Source organism: Homo sapiens, chromosome 7 (genome assembly GCF_000001405.40).
Source record: "Homo sapiens chromosome 7, GRCh38.p14 Primary Assembly".
NCBI classification, from domain to species: Eukaryota; Metazoa; Chordata; class Mammalia; order Primates; family Hominidae; genus Homo; species Homo sapiens.
This window is the reverse complement of record NC_000007.14, coordinates 105788763-105807541: the sequence shown is the minus strand read 5'-3', so window position 1 is coordinate 105807541 and position 18779 is coordinate 105788763. Positions and strand designations below refer to the sequence as shown.

The 18779-nt window shown below is 47.5% G+C and overlaps 1 protein-coding gene across 3 annotated transcripts in view, besides 8 other annotated features; it reads left to right on the top strand.

Moving 5' to 3' along the window:
- ATXN7L1 (ataxin 7 like 1) overlaps positions 1 to 18779 on the top strand; it is a 271828-nt gene that overhangs the window by 69058 nt on the left and 183991 nt on the right. The window lies entirely within an intron of this gene.
- Positions 98 to 147: an enhancer, noted in NCBI's record as "active region_26473". NCBI's record gives its function as "activates an Ori minimal core promoter by ATAC-STARR-seq in GM12878 lymphoblastoid cells {active_cell/tissue: GM12878}" and the evidence as "EXISTENCE:reporter gene assay evidence [ECO:0000049][PMID:35858748]".
- Positions 788 to 837: an enhancer, noted in NCBI's record as "active region_26472". NCBI's record gives its function as "activates an Ori minimal core promoter by ATAC-STARR-seq in GM12878 lymphoblastoid cells {active_cell/tissue: GM12878}" and the evidence as "EXISTENCE:reporter gene assay evidence [ECO:0000049][PMID:35858748]".
- Positions 998 to 1167: an enhancer, noted in NCBI's record as "active region_26471". NCBI's record gives its function as "activates an Ori minimal core promoter by ATAC-STARR-seq in GM12878 lymphoblastoid cells {active_cell/tissue: GM12878}" and the evidence as "EXISTENCE:reporter gene assay evidence [ECO:0000049][PMID:35858748]".
- Positions 6812 to 6861: a silencer, noted in NCBI's record as "silent region_18523". NCBI's record gives its function as "represses an Ori minimal core promoter by ATAC-STARR-seq in GM12878 lymphoblastoid cells {active_cell/tissue: GM12878}" and the evidence as "EXISTENCE:reporter gene assay evidence [ECO:0000049][PMID:35858748]".
- Positions 10302 to 10802: an enhancer, noted in NCBI's record as "H3K4me1 hESC enhancer chr7:105437186-105437686 (GRCh37/hg19 assembly coordinates)". NCBI's record gives its function as "activates a minimal SCP1, AML or CMV promoter by ChIP-STARR-seq in naive H9 embryonic stem cells {active_cell/tissue: H9 hESC(naive)}" and the evidence as "EXISTENCE:reporter gene assay evidence [ECO:0000049][PMID:30033119]".
- Positions 11872 to 13071: an enhancer, noted in NCBI's record as "MED14-independent group 3 enhancer chr7:105434917-105436116 (GRCh37/hg19 assembly coordinates)". NCBI's record gives its function as "activates an origin of replication core promoter dependent on BRD2, BRD4, P300/CBP and CDK7 cofactors, and independent of MED14, by STARR-seq in HCT116 cells {active_cell/tissue: HCT116}" and the evidence as "EXISTENCE:reporter gene assay evidence [ECO:0000049][PMID:35650434]".
- Positions 14621 to 15177: an enhancer, noted in NCBI's record as "H3K27ac-H3K4me1 hESC enhancer chr7:105432811-105433367 (GRCh37/hg19 assembly coordinates)". NCBI's record gives its function as "activates a minimal SCP1, AML or CMV promoter by ChIP-STARR-seq in primed H9 embryonic stem cells {active_cell/tissue: H9 hESC(primed)}" and the evidence as "EXISTENCE:reporter gene assay evidence [ECO:0000049][PMID:30033119]".
- Positions 15178 to 15736: an enhancer, noted in NCBI's record as "H3K27ac-H3K4me1 hESC enhancer chr7:105432252-105432810 (GRCh37/hg19 assembly coordinates)". NCBI's record gives its function as "activates a minimal SCP1, AML or CMV promoter by ChIP-STARR-seq in primed H9 embryonic stem cells {active_cell/tissue: H9 hESC(primed)}" and the evidence as "EXISTENCE:reporter gene assay evidence [ECO:0000049][PMID:30033119]".

The following is an 18779-nucleotide window of genomic DNA, read 5'->3' as shown; positions in this document are numbered from 1 at the left end:
GAACCCAAGGGTGTGAAGATTGGAAGGTATAAACAACTGGGGGGCCATTCCTGCAACAGCCTACCCAGGAGTGCCGCGTCAGAAGGTGTGTCCTGTTCTCGCCCTGCATGGGTTTGTGTCAGTGTGGGGCAGCTCTTTCAAGGAAGAAATGAAAGGCTCTTTTGAGGCAGGGAAGTGCAGTGGAGTTTGACACACAGTGTTCAAATTCTGCACAGCATTTACCAGCAGTATGACATCAGGCAGGTGACTTGACTTTTCTAAAGCCTGGGTTCTTCACCTCTAAGCTGGGTCTGGTCAAGTTTCCCTCATGAGGTTCTTCAGGACACTAACTGATGTTTGTGGAGCAGGGTGTGTGGCATGTGGTCAGCACCCAATGTAGCTGGCATTGTGGTGGGGCAGCAGAAAGGCAGCTATGCTGGGAAGTTGGACAGTGCCAAATCCTGGGGCAACAGGTGGTCATCCATGCACAGGAAGCTTGGCTGGACACCTGGATGGCAGCGTGCCCTGGCCCAGGAGGCCAGGTGAAGATGGCAAAAGGGAAAAGAAGGCTCTGCTGGCTTCTTGCAGACTAAAGCCCTGTTCACATATTTGTTGTTTAAAATTGAAACAAGTAAGTCACCCTTTCTTGGTTGTACATCCCCCCACAGCAACTGCCAGTTGACTTCCACACCCTATTTTTTCCCCAGAGCTTTCACTCCTTGTCAGAGGTGTTGAACACTGCAGTGCTTCCCACGTGGCTTCTCTGTGCCTCTGACTCTGTTGCTGGGTCCTCCTGGGCACTTCCTCATGACTCACCTCCTCCCTCTGCGAGCGTTCCTCTCAGCTTCCTTCACTGGCCCCTTCCCTCCTCTCATCTTCTTGTTATTTATTGGTGTTCCCCAAATTCTAGCCTTAACCCTGTTGTCAGACAACACTGTTTCACAGGGAGACTGTGCACAACCCCAGCTTGGCCCCCGCTTGCTCATGATGTCCCCACTCTGTCTCTCTGGCCCCAGCTTGCCTCTTGGACTGCAGATCAGTTTCTCACACTTAGTAGGCTGCAAAACAAAGCTCTCCTCCCCATATGTCCTCAGTCTGCTCGGGCTGCTATAAGAAAGTACCATAGCCTGGGTGGCTTAAACAACTGAGGTTTATTTCTCACAATTTTGGAGGCTGACACCCACGATCAGGGTGCCCGCATGGTGAGTGGACGGGTGCTCACTGGGCAGAGAGGGCCCTGGTGTCTCTTCCTTTCCTTACAAGGGCACTAATCCCATCATGGAGCTCCACTTTTAGGTCCCCATGTAAACCTCATCATTCCCCAAAGGTCCCATCTCCTTATACCACCTCACTGGGTGCTAGGGTCTCAGTACATGAATCCAGGGGGACGCAGTTCAGTCTCTAGCACCATGTAACCTGCATTCCCATCTGTCTTCCCCTCTTCCTGGTAGGCCAAGCCAGAAAGCTCTAAGTCATTTCCCACAGTGGTCAGTTCCAAATAAATGTCTCTTGGGTCCTGCGTCCTCTCTGTCCCTGCAGCCCCAGACCCTGCAGCAGCCCTCTCACCTCCAGCCTTGTTCCAGCAAGCTCAGCATTGCTTCCAAAACAAACACCCGATCACTGCTCTCTGCATTCTCTCTCTCATACTCATGAGCACATGGTAAAACTCTGCCTCGCACCTCTCTGGCCTTATCTCCTGCCCTTCCCCCCAGCATCCTCATTCCCTGCTATATTCACCCACCTGTGGCACCCTCACCAGGCCAGCACATCTCACCACACTGCATTTGCTCTTGCTGTTCCCACGACCCGGGCTGCCCCTCCCCCTGCGACTGCCTGGAAGCTTGTGCTCATCTTTCAGGAACCGACTCTGGGGTCATCCTGGTGAAGCTCTCCCTGCCCTCTGCCGCAGCATGAGCCACGCACACGTCCTATTTATCACTTGCCAAGTGTACTGTGGGCTTGTGAGTCTCGCCCTGTCTCTTTTCATGATCTGTGAGCTCCTTGAGGGCATAAATCATCGCATTCATTTCTCTGTACCCCAGTGTCTGGCATATAATCAATGACAATAAATAAGTGTTGGATAAATGAGTGAGTAGATGAGGGCAGTGGGTGAGACCAACAACCTCCTGTTTCCCACACTGAGTCACCCCAGGTTCCCCACTGGCACAAGTGCCACTAGCTGCCAGCCCCCTGAACTTCCTGCATATCCAACTTACCAAGTCCTGGAGCAGCTGGCGTTCTCCTTCCCACCCCACAGCACTAAGGGCCCTGGCAAGTTCTCGCCTGCCCCCAGGAAGGCCGGTTATAGAGAAAGCCCTTGGCACCTTAGCCAGAGCTCATGGCTCCCTCCTCTAGCACACTTTGCCCTTTCTGCCTGTTTAATCATGTCACTTTATGCCATCCCATTCTCTAACTGTCTGGCTCAGGTTAGCCCTTCACTACATCAGCTCACTCTACTGTCCGGCTCGTTCGTTGTTTTAAGTGTGTATGTTGTCATCCTAGCTGATCCTCATTGTAGACAGGAGCTTCTGTTCTTTATTGGTTCTTGGACATTTGGTAAATGCTACGCCACGGGTGTTTATTCATAACTGACCTCAGAGTTCTTGTTACTTCCCTGCCTGCCTGTCTCCCTTTCTCCCAGCTGCCGTCCTCTTTAAAAAGGTACAACATCCTAAGAGTTAAGATCCAGCAGCCTTGAGTTCAGATTTTGGCTCCAGCATTCCCAAACTGTGAGACTGGGAGCCAATAGCTTAACCTCTTTGAGCTTCTATTTCCTTATCTATAAAATGGAGATAATGTCACCCCTGCAGGTCTGCTGTGAGGATTCAATGAAACAATCAATGAACAGCACTTAGCACAGTACCTAACGTGGAGTAAATACTCAATAAATGCCGGCTGCTGTGATTGATGTTTTTTCAATAATATTATTTTATCAATAAATCTTCTCCTTAAGGGTCTATCATAGTCTAGCCCCAGGCCAGCACCCAACACATAGAATAAGTGTTTGTAGAACTGTCAGGCGAGCATATAAATTTATTTCTAGGGCTACCCTGAAATGCTTCCCCTTCCTTGTTAGTTGGAATGAGAGGCTAATTTTCCCTAAGATGTTTCCACTCATCTCCAACAAGAGCTTCCTTCTTGTGAACACAGCCCATGTTCTGAACCTTACCTTGGGGCAGGGTGGGTTATGCTGGCTCTTCACCCATACATGCACATGTCGGGGACAGCCAGTCTCAGGAGTCCCTTCTTAATCAGGCCTTTTTGGAAGCAAGACAGCTAGACCCTTCCCCTCTATTCATATCAGAGTTTAGGGTTTGCTTTCCTGGTTTGATTTGGTCTCAGCATGGCTATCACCTGTCTTGAAGGGCTTTTCTGGGAAGACACCCTGAGGGACCTGACAGGGCATCCAGGAAGACTCTGCTCAAAGGCCAGAAAGGAAGCTGGGCACCCCATTCTAGCCTCTGGAGCTTGGCCAGGTGGAGGCATCCTGGCTAAGGGATGCCCATTTCTCTCCCTCTGGCCAAGGCTGGTAGAAGTCCTGCCCACTGAGAGTCAGGGAGGGGACAGGGACACAAACCCTATTGAACACAGCTCTCAGTCCCTTACCTGTGGAGGGTTCCTTCCTGGACCACTTAGCCGCCTCAGAGAGGGGACAGTATTATAGTCCCATCTCTGATCACTGGAGAGGCAAATCAAGCACATGATTCTCACCCCTGAGCCTTCCCTGTTCCAGTTCATAACTGGGTGGAAATAGGTAAAATCATAGACTGTTCCTATGGGAAGTTACCATTAGGGAAGTCTAGGCCAGTGCCGGGTTGAACAGCTACATCAAAGTTACCTGGAAAACTTTGTTCCAAAATGCAGATTCTTGCAATGGAAGCATATCCAGAATTTCCAGTTCAGTCAGGCTGGCTGGAACCCAGTCATCTGTCCCCTAAGAGCTCCTGAAAGATTCCAATGCACAGTTAGGTATGGACCCATTAACCTGTCCCGCTGCCTTATCTCAGCAGTAAAGGTGGAAGGTGTTCTAGGGCCCCAGAGAGGTCTCATGCCTTGAAAAGTTAGTGATAAAGGCCCAGAGCACCGAGGATACTGCTCAAGTCCTGCCACCTTCTCACAGCAGCCAGGGCTGGAGCCGTCCCTCCACTAGATAGGATCCTGGACATCAGGGTGGGGCCAGCAGGGGAGCACTGACTCATGGGGTCCCAGCAGGCCACGCTCCCAGGGGAGCTGAGAAAGAGCTAGGGCAGAGAAGAAGGGCCCTTGGCCATTTCTTTCAGAGCCCTGTGGTGTGGATGCATGGATGCCCTCTGCTTCGGCCCACTGCCCTCCCTGGCCTCCCATGGCAATGTAGGGGCCACTCTACAACCCACCACTGCTGGGCAGGTGGAGAGTGAAGCCCGTGTGTTGCATTGAGTCCTGTTAAGAGTCTCAGTTGAAGTTGGCTGGCTGACGGATTTGACACAGGGGTAGAAAGTAGATGTGGGACAAAGTCTAAGTTTACCAATACAGACAACTCCAAGTCCTGAATAGATTGAAGGGGTTTTGTTTTCTCATGTGGGCATTTGACCCTTCTAGAAAGATGGGACCATCCAGAGATACCCAGCCCTGACCCCAGCAGTTTACACTACGAAGCTGCTGGAATCACAGACACAAACCCCATAGAGACAGGTCATGCCTCTGAATCAGAAACTTCATTTAAACCAGGAAAAACAAAACTGTGTGAGCCCTGGGCAGCCCAGGGAGGGGAAAGCCCCACGCTAGAGCCAGGCTGCTGTGCAGGGTGCTGGAGTGAGCCTTCTGCTGCTGGGAATCAAGGGCCTGGAGCTGCAGTTCCTCTGGATTCTGTGGCTGGGCTGGTGGTGTTACAGAAAGGTGGGATCTTTGTTTTTCCTGGTAAGCAAGAAGCAGTTTGATGGCACTATGAAAAAACTTCCTCAGGCATGCAGACCTTAAGTAAATAAAAGCACAAAAATAGATTTTTCAAACCATGTCCTTCCAGAGCATAGTAGGATTTGCTGGGAAATTGGATTGAATTTTCCCTGACTCACCTGACTGCTGAGGGGAGGAATTTAAAGGAAAGGTCTGTGTTTCCCCAGTGGTATCTGCTGAAACAGGGCCAACTGCAGGGCTTACGGCTCCTTATGGGTGACCTTTTAAAAGGCAGCTGGGGGTGTCTGAACAGCAGGCTGGGGACTGGGGGCTGATGCTTAGCTAGACCACCTTACCTCTGAACCCAGAGATGAGAGATTGATTGTCGGACCTCTGCGCCGTCCACATATTATAGATCGGTTTACTGAGGTATGGAGGCCACTGGGCAGCCCTCGGGAGAACAGGTTGCTTTTCTAATGGTGATGAAGGATTGACCCTGAAGCGTCTATGCCTTGACTCGTTCCACTTGGGTATCAAGACTGCAGTTTGCTAGGTGGTTGGCCCAAGGCTGGGGTTTAGAGGATGACCACAGAGCACAAGGGAAGTTTTCTCTTGAGCCAAGCTATGCAGATTAAAATGCTAGAACATCATTAGCATCTTAGGAAGGTTTTCAGACACCAGGCTTTAAGTGACCCCAAACCTTCCCCGGACCTAAATTTAATGCCGTGGGCCACATTCCGTCGAGTTTGGGTTCCTGCACAGAATTTTATTATGAATGAGAACCAGTGGTGTGCCAATACACTGGCTCTCTGAAGAAATGTAAAAGCCTTGATTTGTAGTGTTTGCCAATTTTCAAGGTGTAACTACTCCCACTGTGCCAATTTCAAACTACCAATGTGAAGTCTGTAAATATGAAGTTGGGAAAAGATGTGCACAATTGGCTGTCATGAGCAGTTCCATTCGGCTCCAGCACACCACTGAGCTCATGGGCCTCCAACGCATATATCCAAAGAGCTCACAAGTAGAGGTGATTCAGAGGGGCAAACTGAACCATGTGCCAGGTGTACCCTCAGTATCCCTACATGTACAGAACACTCTTTCCCCTTAGCTAACAGAATCTTTTAACTAGCAAGAAGTTCCATATTACCACATTAATACTGGAATATATCAGCGGGTGTCTCCACTTTAGTAGTGATCATGATAGGACAATGATTGGCTAAGTTTAGGAGCTATCAGATCCCTTGAGGAGCTTGCTTAAAAAGCATTCTGCTCGACTCCATACCCCAGAGAATCTGATTTCCTAGATCTGAGATGGGGTCTAGTCATCTGTGTTTGGCAAGAAAGTTACAGGTCGTATTCATACTTTGAGAAGCCCTCATCTACTGTTTGCTCACCCTGTGGTTTAGAAGCCTGGAAGTTCAAGGTCTGGTGACTTTTAACAGTGATTTTATTCCTCATACTAACTGTTTTGCTCCAGTGAAACTTCATACTAACTGTTTTGCTCTGTTTTTTTAAATCCCACCATGCAAAATCTGATTCTAAATGATATGTATTGACAGCATCCCAAGTATCAGACATCAGACATGTGTTATCCCATCTTATTCTGACAACTACCCTATTATTACCACCCCATTTTGCAGATGAGGAAACTGAGGCCCAGAGAAATTTCCCAAGTAGGTGGTGCTAGAATTCAAGTTCAGGCGATCTGACTCCAGAACCTGCATTCTAAGCAAAACACGGCTGCCTCTGTAAAATAGTGTTCCTTTGAGGGTCTTTGGCTTTTTACTTAGCGAATTCAGGCTAAAATTCAGCTAAATTTCTTGAGCATTTAATTGAATACCTATAAGATGCTATCACTGGCATAAGTTATCTCATTTAATCCTAGCAGCAACCTTACAGGGGAGGTAAGACACTGTTTTCTGGAAGAGGGAAGGGAGATCCAGAGATGTTCTGTGGCTTGCCCTGTGTTGCACAGCCAACTGGAGGCAGAACAGGAATTTGTTGCTCATTCCACTACCCCACAGCTGCCCAGCTAAGTTTCCTGTGTGGTTCTTTAGTCTAAGGCAGCTTTGATTCATTGGTGCTTTTTTAAGCATTTGAGTACGTTTCTGGCAGTCTTCACTTTTGACTGATAAATGTCTGAGTCTGTATATAAAACAGTGTACAAATGGGAAAGACAGCCGTATCCACCACTATCTTTAAACACCAGACAGAGTGGGCTAAGTGCAGCACTAAGATGCAGAGGAGCGTGCAAATACAGAGAAAGTGTTTGTTGTTTCTGCGGGAATTGAAGAAGGCTCCCTGAAGGAGGCTACACCAAGCTGGACCTTGAAGGATACACAGGATTTTGGCAAGTATGGAGGGAAGAGTCGGGGATGGGCAGCAGTGAAAGAGGATTTGGTGGAAACTGAAGCTGGGAACCCAGGGATTGGGGCCCAATCACAGGGCTTCATGAATCTTGCCAACAGTGTCCCTTTTTTCTTTGGCCCATAACTAGTTTCATGCTTGACTTGTGATTAAGGACATTGTGATTTTTCTCCTCTAGCTGATCGATCTTATTTTCCATTACCTTAAAACAACTTTCTGTAGCTCTTCTATGGGGGAGTTTTAATTCCTGTGCCCTTGTGCTTTAGGCCCCAGCACCTTCAAAGTGGTCTTCCAGGCACATACGACTGGCTTGAGGGGCCCAGATGTGCTGAGATGCCCCAGTGCTTCTTTCTGTTCCCTTACAGCAAAAGTTTATTTCTGTCCCTCGGCAGCATTGGTGCAGTCGGTAGCCAGTCCAGCTGGAGTGGTTCTGGTTCCCTTTATAAGCACCCATTCCTGGGAGAATGCCTTGGGATATCTGTCAGCAGCTTCCTGTAGTCTGGCTGTCCCAGTGGCTGGAGTGCTTTGAACACCGATTCCCAGGGACATTACACAGTTCCTTTCCACTGTTTTCTGGCTCTCCCAAGTGGACACTGACCTCGAAGTGAGCACATTTACCTCTGAGCTCTGGCAGCATCGTTTGGGCGATTATTGTAATCTTGAGGGGCTTGTGGGGATCCAATAGCCTTGACTAAAGGCGTTCCATAGGGAGAAAAAAAAATGTCGCAATTGCTTTGCCAGTTAGAGATCAGTCACAGCCAGAACCAACTTCTGCTTTCCTCTTGGAAACACTAACAAGTGCCACAGGATCAGAGGTCTCTCGCCCACCATGGCCAGTAGGACCCATTAAGACCATCAGCCGTGGGATTGCCTGTCATTCCTGAACTCTAGTCTCAGGGATTCCGAGCAGTGTGTCTCTTCTTCATCTCTGAATCTTCAAGCAGAACACTGATATAACCCCCCTACCACTGAGCAGGGGTTGGTGTGTGCAACACGATGGGGGAATTTTCTGGAGTGGGCATTTTCATGTGGTCTCCATCACATGTTCTGGATGACATTTGTAGTAATAGCTTGACAGCTGAGGCCTGCTGCGATGCAGTCCCACTGGCAAAGGCCTCTCCTTGTGCCTTTACAAATGTCACATTCCTGCACATGTAAGGCACCGCAGGAGGGCTTCTTTATGGACTCTCTTCCAGTGTAGTCCTGCAACGTGTTATCCAAGAAATCTCTCAGAATGCTGTGTTGGGACAGGTGGTGCATCTCTGTCTGTGGTAGATGGATGCTGCTGCCTGGCCCCTCCTGAGGCTATTTGGTCCATTTCTAAATTAAAATCTCTAAACAGTAATAGAAGACCTAGTGAGAACTGCGTTTCTCATCATTGTTCTAGTCTTAGCGGAGCTATGAGAGCCCTTAATACAGCGTTTTAGCTCCCACATACAACTGATCATCCACCCCATTTCTTTGCCTGGGATTCCTATCTTTTTTTCATCCAAATAGAAGAAAAGCCTCTCAGCATGTGAATCTCAAGAAGCAATATGGCGGACATCAAGTTCTTCATTATACTTCAGGGTAGCTATTTTTTTATTCCAAAGTCTACTTAAATGTCAGAGAGAAGGCTGAATTCAGTTGCCTACAAGGAGATCTTCAAGTAAGACTTCTACTTAGCTCCTACTGTGAATGGAACTGTGAATGATAGGGTGGGGAAGATGAAGATATGCATGAGCCTAAGGCAGGCATAGGCCAAGGGGAGCCCTTTGCACAGTTATTCTCTTGGCTACCAAGGTCATCACTGTCTAGCCAATCAGTGAGATCTCTGCCAGGTTGGGCTCAGATTGCCAACATGTGCCCTCAGTTAGCCCCCTGCATGCTGGCCCAGTGTCAGACAGTGCAGAGCTGAGACAGGAAGGGGAGGGAGAAGTCTAGATCTTCCAGGCCCAGGATCACACACAGTCTGGATGTCAATGGCAGCCCAAAGTCAGGAAGTAGAAAATGGGACCAGAGAGAGCATCCAAAAAACACCCAAGCCCATCCCAAACACTGGCTCTGAAGGGGGCCTTGTTGAGTGCAGAGTAGCTGTGTTTGCCATGGGGTGGGGGGAAGGAACAGCTTTCATGCACTTGGCATGGTGGGCACAGGAATAGACCACTTCTCCACTGACGGCTCACCTGGATCATGCCTTAGATTCCCTTAGTGCTTATCTTCCAAGGAGCTCAAAGAGTGAATAAATAGAGACAATTATTGACCTCGTAATCTTAGATAGCAGCATGGATATTAGGGCAATTTATTATCATTTACTACTTCCCCTTTCGAGAGAAGAGAAAATGAATGAGTATGGAAAATAAATCAACTTCTTGGGAACCTCAGCCTAGTTAACATATTACCATTGATTAAGCAGCTACCACATGCCAGACTGTTTGACTATGGAGATAGGAAGGGCGATAAGTCACAATTCCTGTCTTCCGGAAGATTGCCGTCTGGTGAGAGTCAGAGACATAAACCAGCCACTCCACAACAGCCTTAGGAAAGCTGCCGGGCTTTGCCGAGTGAGGGCGCACCAGGAGGGGAGAGGGAGGCTTCCCTGAGGAGAGGCCAGGTGAGTGGGAGAGATGAGAAGAAGGCCACAGATAATAACATGTTCTATTTTTTATATCCCTTCTGTGTGCCAGCCTCTTCACAAATAAGTCATCTAATTCCATGTGTGGAAACACAAGCTTAGAGAAGATTATAAGCCAAATGCCAAATTTGAACTTGGGCTTCCAAACTCCAGGGCTCAGCAAGCAGGCACTGCATTTTTAAGGCCCATCTCTAATAGTTTTTGTTCTCAACTCTGGGCGAGACCTGAGGCCTAAGGAAGCATCCTGGGGACCCAGTGCAGCCCCTTCGCCTCCATACATCTTGAATGCTGGTCTTTAAAGGTCCTTCTCCTGAGGAAGTGGGGCTGAGACTGTCTTGTGTGGTCATGTTTTGTTGGGTGGTTGGGGTTGGGGTCCGGGGGCGGACATCCTGTTCATGCAGCCTAATGAGGAGCTTCCACCTGCCCCTTGTGTTTCTCAGCACTGACCTGCTACCAGGCCCGGCTCTGGGCTGTAGCCAGGGAGGGGATGCCTTCCAGCCTAGCCGTGGCAGGAAGAGGCCAGGAGTCATTTTAGCCATTGGTTTGCAAAAGAAGAAAAGCTTTGCTGCTGCCGCCTGCACGCACCCGCACGCTCACTCCCCTTGATGCTGGAGTGATGCTGGAGAGCTCACCGCTGCTGCTTGCTTTTCTAGTTCTCTTCCTTCATTTTCCCTTTGCAGATTTCACTGATTTTGAATCTCTCACAATGGAGCCCTTGGTTTCCAGAGATCTGAGAAACAGAAAGTGATCACATTTTCCTAGAGGGGAGCTCAACATTCTGCTGGGGAAGTAGGAGATGTCGAGTCTGAGGTCATTTTCAGACACCAACTTGTTTTGTTCTATGAATTTAAGGAGATTTTAGAATTGGGGAACAAATAAAATCATTCTGTCAGAGCAAAGGAGAAACATCTTTGTATATTGCCTTAAGCTTTCCATGCACCGTTAAGTGATTAAAATGCAACTGAAAACTCTGATAGCAAAAAGAAAAATTAATAAATACAGTATAATAAGTGCATAAAGATTATTAGGGGAAAGGAAGACTCTTAGGACCAGCCATTCTATGTCCAGATTTGAATCTGCTTGGAGTGAATCACATATCCTTGAACTACAGTTGCTGTTCTTCTCAGGAATTTGGCCTGTCTGAGTTCATGTAAGCAGAAGCCCACAGATCAAAACCACTGTCAGCCACCAGCACAGCTTTTTGATAGTTTTCCAAGGAAGATCAATAGCACCTGGTCCTCTGGCCATTGTCACAGGTTTGTCACATCCGTAGGTCCTACCGAGATCTGTGGGTCCAGTTACCTCCCAGTGAGCAGAGACTTAATTAATTAATTTATTTATTTATTTTTGAGACAGAGTCTTGCTGTGTTGCCAGGCTGGATTACAGTGGCGCGATCTCTGTTCACTGCAAGCTCCGCCTCACGGTTCAAGCTATTCTCCTGCCTCAGCCTCCCAAGTAGCTGGGACTACAGGTGCGCACGACCACGCCCACCTAATGGTTGTATTTTTAGTAGGGATGGGATTTCACTGTGTTAGCCAAGATGGTCTCAATTTCTTGACCTCATGATCTGCCCGCCTCGGCCTCCCAAAGTGCTGGGATTACAGGCGTGAGCCACCACGCCCAGCTAAGACTTACTTTTTAGGTAGAGCTCACATCTACCTTCCTGGAAAGAGCTTGGAATGTTTAAATTAACATAAATACAGCCCCAATTTTTTTCATTACAGTACCTTTTAGAGTAAGTTAAAATGAAAAGCATAATGTTTAAATTATATAAAATTATGTTAATAGCTATAGCATTATAGCGTATGCCATCTTGACATTTTTGTAATTCCTATAGCGACTGAGGTAGTTTCACAACCCTGAAATCTAAGGCCATTTTCAGGAGCTGTGTTATTTTTTCCAAGAAACTAGAATTTAAGGTTGTCTGTTTTGCTGTCTTCTTTTTTCCGACCGTGGGATTCTCTATGGTGAGCGTAGATATCACTGATTGCCAATAGGCTGTCCGACTGCCTTCAAAGTAGTGTCTGCTTCTTGCAGCTTCTCTGTACATCTGGTGCTTCACCTGGAATTCCTGCTTGCAAAAGGGAGGAATCAAGCCTTATTTAGTCTCTCTTAAGGTTTTCATCATTTGAGCTCTCACCAGTTGTTGCTTCATAATGTCAAAGTCTCGAGCCTTGGAAGGTATCCAGGGGCAAATTCAAAGGCACGCAGCATCTAGCTTGATCCTGAATCCACAAAACCAGCTGTCTTCCCATCTTAGAAACAAGTCCTGTGTAAATAGAGAATTGGAGATGTCACCCTGCCTTTTCCTTAACTGTAACCATTTTCAAAAGTGAATATTGGATATAAACTAAAGTTTATAAACACATGACTTTGCTTGTCAAAAGTGTTCTCTCTAGAAGGCTGTTTATCTGGAATAAAACGCTGCTCCCATGCTGCCAGTTTCTTTTTCAGTGTTGACTTCAGAAGCACTTTACCAACTACACTGGGAAGTCAGTTAGTACTTTACTTTTGTAGGAACCATTCTGTTGTCCCAAACTTTGTGTCTCCTTACGTCACAACTGAGTTCTGTTCCATCCCTCCCTCCTCTGCCACCTGGGGGTGTGAGAAGCAGATTTCAGCGGGAGGAAGGCTGTGAGAGTGGACAGAGGCCTGGGAGAACCTCAGTGCTATTGGGAAGCAGGCTGAGTGCCAGACCAAGCTGATAACGTGAATGTGATGGACTCTGCCATGAATGGGAATTGTACCAGAAGTTCAGTAAGGGAAGTGGAGGGCTGCTTGCTCGAAACAGAGGCACTGAGAAGAGTGTGATAAATTTATAAGCAGACCTGATTTAATGCTACAAGCCTGATCTGTGAGTAATCTCCTGAATAATCTTTAATGAGTAAGCATTAAGTCAATAGACATTGGAAAGAACTCCAGTAACCTAATTCCCCATCCCCCACCCCACCCATGACAATTTATAGCCTCATTTGACACAGGAGGTGATCAACTTGTTTACCTGGCTCTGTTGGGCATAAGTTCTTAGGTCAATAATTGATGCGGTAACCATAATTTTAAATTAATATAATGATTTCCATTTCAGTTCAGTTCATAAAACCTGTCTGCGTCCCAGTATGGTACATGATGAATATAATTTTCCATTTTATAGCTGGAGAAATCGAGCCAGGAAGCAGTGATGCTAGAAGGGGACACTAGTCAGCGAAGTGCTGGTGTAAATGTTTTAACAACCAGCTCTCTGCGGGAAGAAGTCCTGGTTTGTAGTGGATGCCGATTTCCATCGTGTAAATACTCCCACCTTGGCTGATTCAAGCTACCAACATGGCATCACTGAATGCAGAGTTGGGAAGAATTGCACATTTTCAGCTCTTGTGAGCTGGTACTAGCTGGCTGCAGCATAATGGCATTAATGATTCAGTTTCTGGCTTCAGGCTCTTGGATGACCACTGAGGACCAGCTCAGACCACTTTAAATCCCAACTTAACTCTCAGATTCTGCTCAGCCTCTCACTACAGTGCCTTGAAGCGTGTTTTTCAAACTTTGAGTTGTAACCCATTGAACAGTCCTGAACTTAATTTAGGGAGCTGAATGAGCATTTTTTAAATGAAATAGAATAGAGTAAAATAAGAAGAAATGAATAGAACAACAGAAAATATCAGCGTGTACACCACATGTTTCAATGATGGATGATGGATGGATGGATGGGTGGATGGATAGGTGGATGGATGGGTGGGGTGGGTGGGTGGATGGAAAGATGGATAGATGGATGGATGACTACATGTCTATAGCGGGTTGGGGTCAAAAACTAAAAATATTGACCCAGAAGCCAATGTACCTCTGTTTTCTCATCTGAAAGATGGAGTTAATGGAGTTGCCTCCTCCCTGCCTGTGATCAGGCCAGGGGGTGACCAGATCACTCTGTGATAATGCTGTGGTGGTGCTAGCACTCTATCTAATCCACAGTTTATCCATTTGTGGTGACAAAACAGGGCAAAGCAGACAGGTCTGGCTTTGTCTCTTTGGGAGATGGTTGTACATTGTGTTTGGACAAAGTTCCGTCTTCATTGGGCACATGTTTTCTTGGCATTCAGCCACAGCCTAGAGATGCCTCCCAGTGGCTCTCAGCCTTCCTCTGTCCACATGTGTACACATGTGCACATACACACACATGAAGTTCTGCAGTCAGAGGGATCAGCCTTCCTAAGTCTGCTGTGAAATGTCATGGGGGAGAGTCCTTAGGAGCAAGGACTCTGTGTTGGAGGGAACTAGTGAACTTTTAAAAATAAGAGAGGTAATGATGAAAGCTTTCTCCACACTCTCTCCTGAGTCCCTCCTGGAAAAAGGTACAAGGCCAAGCAGTGTGTAGGAGTCATCACAGCAACCCCATGAAGCAGAGACTGTTAGCCATTTTCAGAGATGAGGACACTCACCCTAGGAAAGGCTCAGCAATGAGCCCTCTGCTCCCAACCTCACCTTCTGACCCCAGGCCAGTGCCCAGGCCAACAGCCCCTTCAGAGCCTCAGGACAGCCTGTTAGTCATCCAGGAAGCCCTTCCAAACTGGTTTTCTTATCTGTGAAATGGGATGTTGTTCTACGTAAGAAGCATTTTGCTGAGAAAAGAGAAATGGCTTTAGAGTCAGAGTATCCGGGAATCTCATGCTACTTTTTACAAATCACTGCTGTGAGATTGCAAGCAAATTACTTTACTATAGTTGCCTTGCCTGGAAAGTGGAGATGTTGACAATTTTGCAGGTTCATTATGAAGATTAACTAAGATAACGTTATCACATCACAAATCTGGAGAGATATATATTAATATGTCAACAGTGGTTATCACTAGGTGGTGGCATTACAGGTGGTTTCACTCTTCACTTTTTTGCCCGTTTTTATTCAGTGGTGTACCAGTAAATATTTAACAAAAGAAAAACAAAAAGCCTGATTTGTAGTGTTTGCCCATTTCCTTGGTGTAAATACTTCCACCATGGCTGATTTCAAGCTACTGCCATGACGACACTAAACATGAAATTGGAAAACGACATGTATGATTGGCTCTCACAAGCTGGTATCAGCCCACTTCAGCTCACCACTGTTTTTAACTGTGCACCGAACGTTTTGCTTGGGGGTAAATTAGAGAGAGAGGGAAGGAAAGAGAATTAATTAGCAGAGTGCCTAGCATTATGCCTGTCATTAGTTCTCCTCTCTCCCTGCCCTCCCTCCCTGCTTTGTCCCCCAGCCCGCATTGCTCTAATGGAACAGCACAGTGCCTGTGAACACCCAGCCGTGTGAAGTGGTGGTCTTCCTGGGAGCCAGCTGCCTGTCTTTGCTCGCCATCGGCAGGGCCCTCAGGACCTGGGCAGCCTGTAGAGGAGATCCTAAGGTTGACTCACTGAGGAATAATCAAGCAGATTCCCAGGTCCTCTCACTTTCCACAGGAGACATGCTCAGATCAGACACGTACAAGGTTGACACTTCCCTCTAGGGAAACTAGGAAAAGTCTCAACGGGAAAGGCCTGGAGGGGAACACACCTCCAGGTGGCCACAGTCTCTAAGGAGCCGAACCTTTACCTTCCGCTCACTGACATAACAGATGTGTGTGACTGTGGGGGTGGGGGAGACGGGATGGGCTCTGCAGGTCTCTGGAGGAATACAGAAGAATGGGGCGTCAGTGGCAGCCTGACAGGCCTCGACAGGTCACCCAGCATGTAAGACAAAGGTGCAGGGACAAATTCCCCACACCCTCCAATGTCTGGTCTCAGCCTCCCAGCACTCGGCAGTTTCTGGCACAAGAGTAGATGTTCAAGAAATTTTTGTTAATGCTTGGTTTGGTTTGTTGCTGTTGTTGTTTTAATTTTTAATATCACCTTATATTCCTTCATAGCTTGACCTGTTGCAGAAAGGATGTCAGGCAGCCATATAAATGCTTATTGAATAAATAAATAAGTTGTAGCCCTCATCAGCTCCTGGTTTTACCTGTTCCTGGATATAAAATGTGACTTTAAGTCGAAATGAGATGCGAAGTGTTAATAAAGTTTTCTGGTAATGGTATTTTTCTTTAATTTCTTCTAGGTTTTCTGTATTTTTTCAAATGTATCTTCGGAGAACTTGGATCCCTTTTGTTTTATTTTTAAAAAATGAATATATGTTACAAAAATAACCTGTAAATTAAAAGCAAATCGAGAGCTGTGTCAACAGTTAAGGCCCAAGAAGGGTCATCTCCGCGGCTCTAAGGCTCTGAACTGAGGGTCCTGCCTGCCCACAGGGTGTTGGCTGGGCCCAGGTTCGGGCTCTTGTCTCAGCCTCTCTTCCCACAGGCCTCCCGCCTGCCTACCAGGCCCTGACTAATAACGCTCCCCTCCAGCAACTCCCAGAAGACAGTGTGTGCCAGTCTTAGAAGTGGCAGTAGGGAGAGATGAGGGGGATGACTGGCCACACCCTTTAAAATACAGTTGGGCCTGTGTCCTGGTCACCCTCCATGAGGCAAGCAGCCACCTCGGGCACCTGAAACCTGGGGAGGCCCCTACAGTGTGAGTCACCTGCCTCCAGGCAGGCCTGGTCCACTCTTTCAATCATAGGCTTCCTTCAGGGCAAGTGGGGGCCTCACCCCTTGCCTATGATAAACCTGTCAGTTCCATTTCCCTTGAAGCAGCAGGGCTGCTCTGGGAATGCAGCACAGAGCCTGGGGGCCTCCCTTAGGTGTCTGTTGGGTTTGAACCTTCCCCTCTTCTGGCCTAGGATCGTGGTCAGGGGAACCATCGTGTTTGAGGGGTTTCATTAAAGACACAGGTTGAACCTAGCAGATGAAGGCTTGTGGGGGTTCTCAACCAGAGGAGGTTTAATTCCTGTATCACCCCTGCCAGTGTTCATGGCTGCCCTCTCAAAGCCAGTCAGCTAAAAGGAGGCAGTGCGGAGGTGCCTGCCAGAGCCCTGTCTCCACCCGATGGTGCACAAGATGTGACCATGGGTTTCCTATAACTGACCTTTTTTTGTCAGATAGATAGATAGATAGATAGATAGATAGATAGATAGATAGATAGTAGATAGATAGTAGATAGATGATAGATAGATAGATAGATAGATAGATAGATAGATAGATAGATAGATAATTTTTTTCTTTTTCTTTTTCTTTCTGAGACAGGGTCTCACTCTGTTGCCCAGGCTGGAGTGCAGTGGTGTGATCATGGCTCACTGCAGCCTTGACCTCTTGGACTCAAGCAACTCTCCTACCTTAGCCCCCTGAGTAGCTGAGACTACAGGCACAAGTCACCTCACCCGGCTGATTTTTGTACATTTTTCGTAGAGATGGGGGTCTCACTTCGTTTTCCAGGCTGGTCTTGATCATCCTACCTCCCAAAGTGCTGGGATTACAGGTGTAAGCCACCACACCCAGCTGAGATATAATTCACATACTCTACAGTTCACCATTTAAAGTGTACAGTTCAGTGGGTTTTAGTCTGTTCTCAGAGTTATGTGACTGTCATCACTATCGATCTTAGAACATTTTCATTGACCCAAAAAGAAACTCTATACCTGTTAGCAGTCACCCTCGAATTCCTCCAGGCCCCCCAACCCAAGGCAAGCACTTACCTCCTTTTTGTGTTTATAGATTTGCCTATTCTGGACATTTCATATAAATGGGGTCATTCAATATGTGACCTTTTGTGTCTGCCTCTCTTCATTTAGCCTAATATTTTCTAGGTTTATCCACACTGTAGACCGGATCAGTACTTATTCCTTTCAGTGGATGGATAATGTTCTGTGGTATTTTGTTTATCCACTCGTCAATTGGTGGGTGTTTGGGTTGTTTCCACTTTTTGGCTATTCTGAGTAATGCTGCTGTGAACATCCATGTACATATGTGTTCATTGTCTCGGAGGTATTGCCACGTAACTGATCTTTTAACAGTATGCACCTGATCCCGTCACTTCTTTGCTTAAAAAGCCCCAGTACTTCTCATTGTTCTTAAAGTCAGAGTCAAAATCCTCACCTGGGCATGGAAGGTTCATGGCTTCTGGGCCTGGCCAGCCTCACCCTGCTGTTTCCCCTGTTCTGTTCCAGCCAAGAGGCGCCAAGACTCCCTCCATGCACAGAGCCTCCTTCCTTGGCTTCAGCTTCAAACTTTCCGCCTTCCCCCTGCCTGGCCCTTTGCTTCCTTAACCTCTACTCATCCTGGAGTCTCAGATGACCTGCCCCCTCCTCAGGGAAGCATTCTCCTCTGCCTCACACTAGGTTAGGGCCACCTGCCGCACACTCCCAGGGGACCCCGTGTGTCTCCTCCATAGCCCCTAACACAGCTGCAGGCAATGATGACTTGTGTGGTGGTCTGCCTAATGCTTCTCTCTTCTGCTCCCTTAAGCTCCAGGAGAGCAGAGAACTCATTCTTGTTCCCCAGTTTTTCCCAGCACCTAGCACAGTGCCTGGCACATTCAGGCACTCAGTAAATATTTACTGAATGAATAATGGGTAATGATGGCAGCAAATGAGCCACTTCTTCAGCAGACTCCTTCAGCCTTAGCATGTCCCTCAAGTGATGGGGAAACCCAGGCACTGCCGAGGCCAAATGACTTCTTCTGTCCCCAGCCAGACACCTCTCACTTCCCTGAGGGACCGCTGCTTATGCAGGAATGGGTTTGGGGGAGTTCCCCGCATCCTGAGCTATATAGAGCCTCAGTGTGTGAATCCCAGCTAACATGTGGGTTCTCTCAGGACAGGGTGATTCCCATAGCATGTGACTCAGAGCAGCCCCTCGACACCACAGACTGAATCAGGAGCAGCCGCAGTGCATTTCCAGGGGAGAAATAAGGAGGGATTCTCTGAAGCACTTGCTTCTCTAAGAGGCGGGGAGTTGCCTTATGACAAACCGAGTTCCCGTTAGTAAAGATTATTGCCTTTCTGCGTGTTGTGTTTGAAAAACTGTCCTTGAAGAAATTCCAAGAGGAAACTGTACAC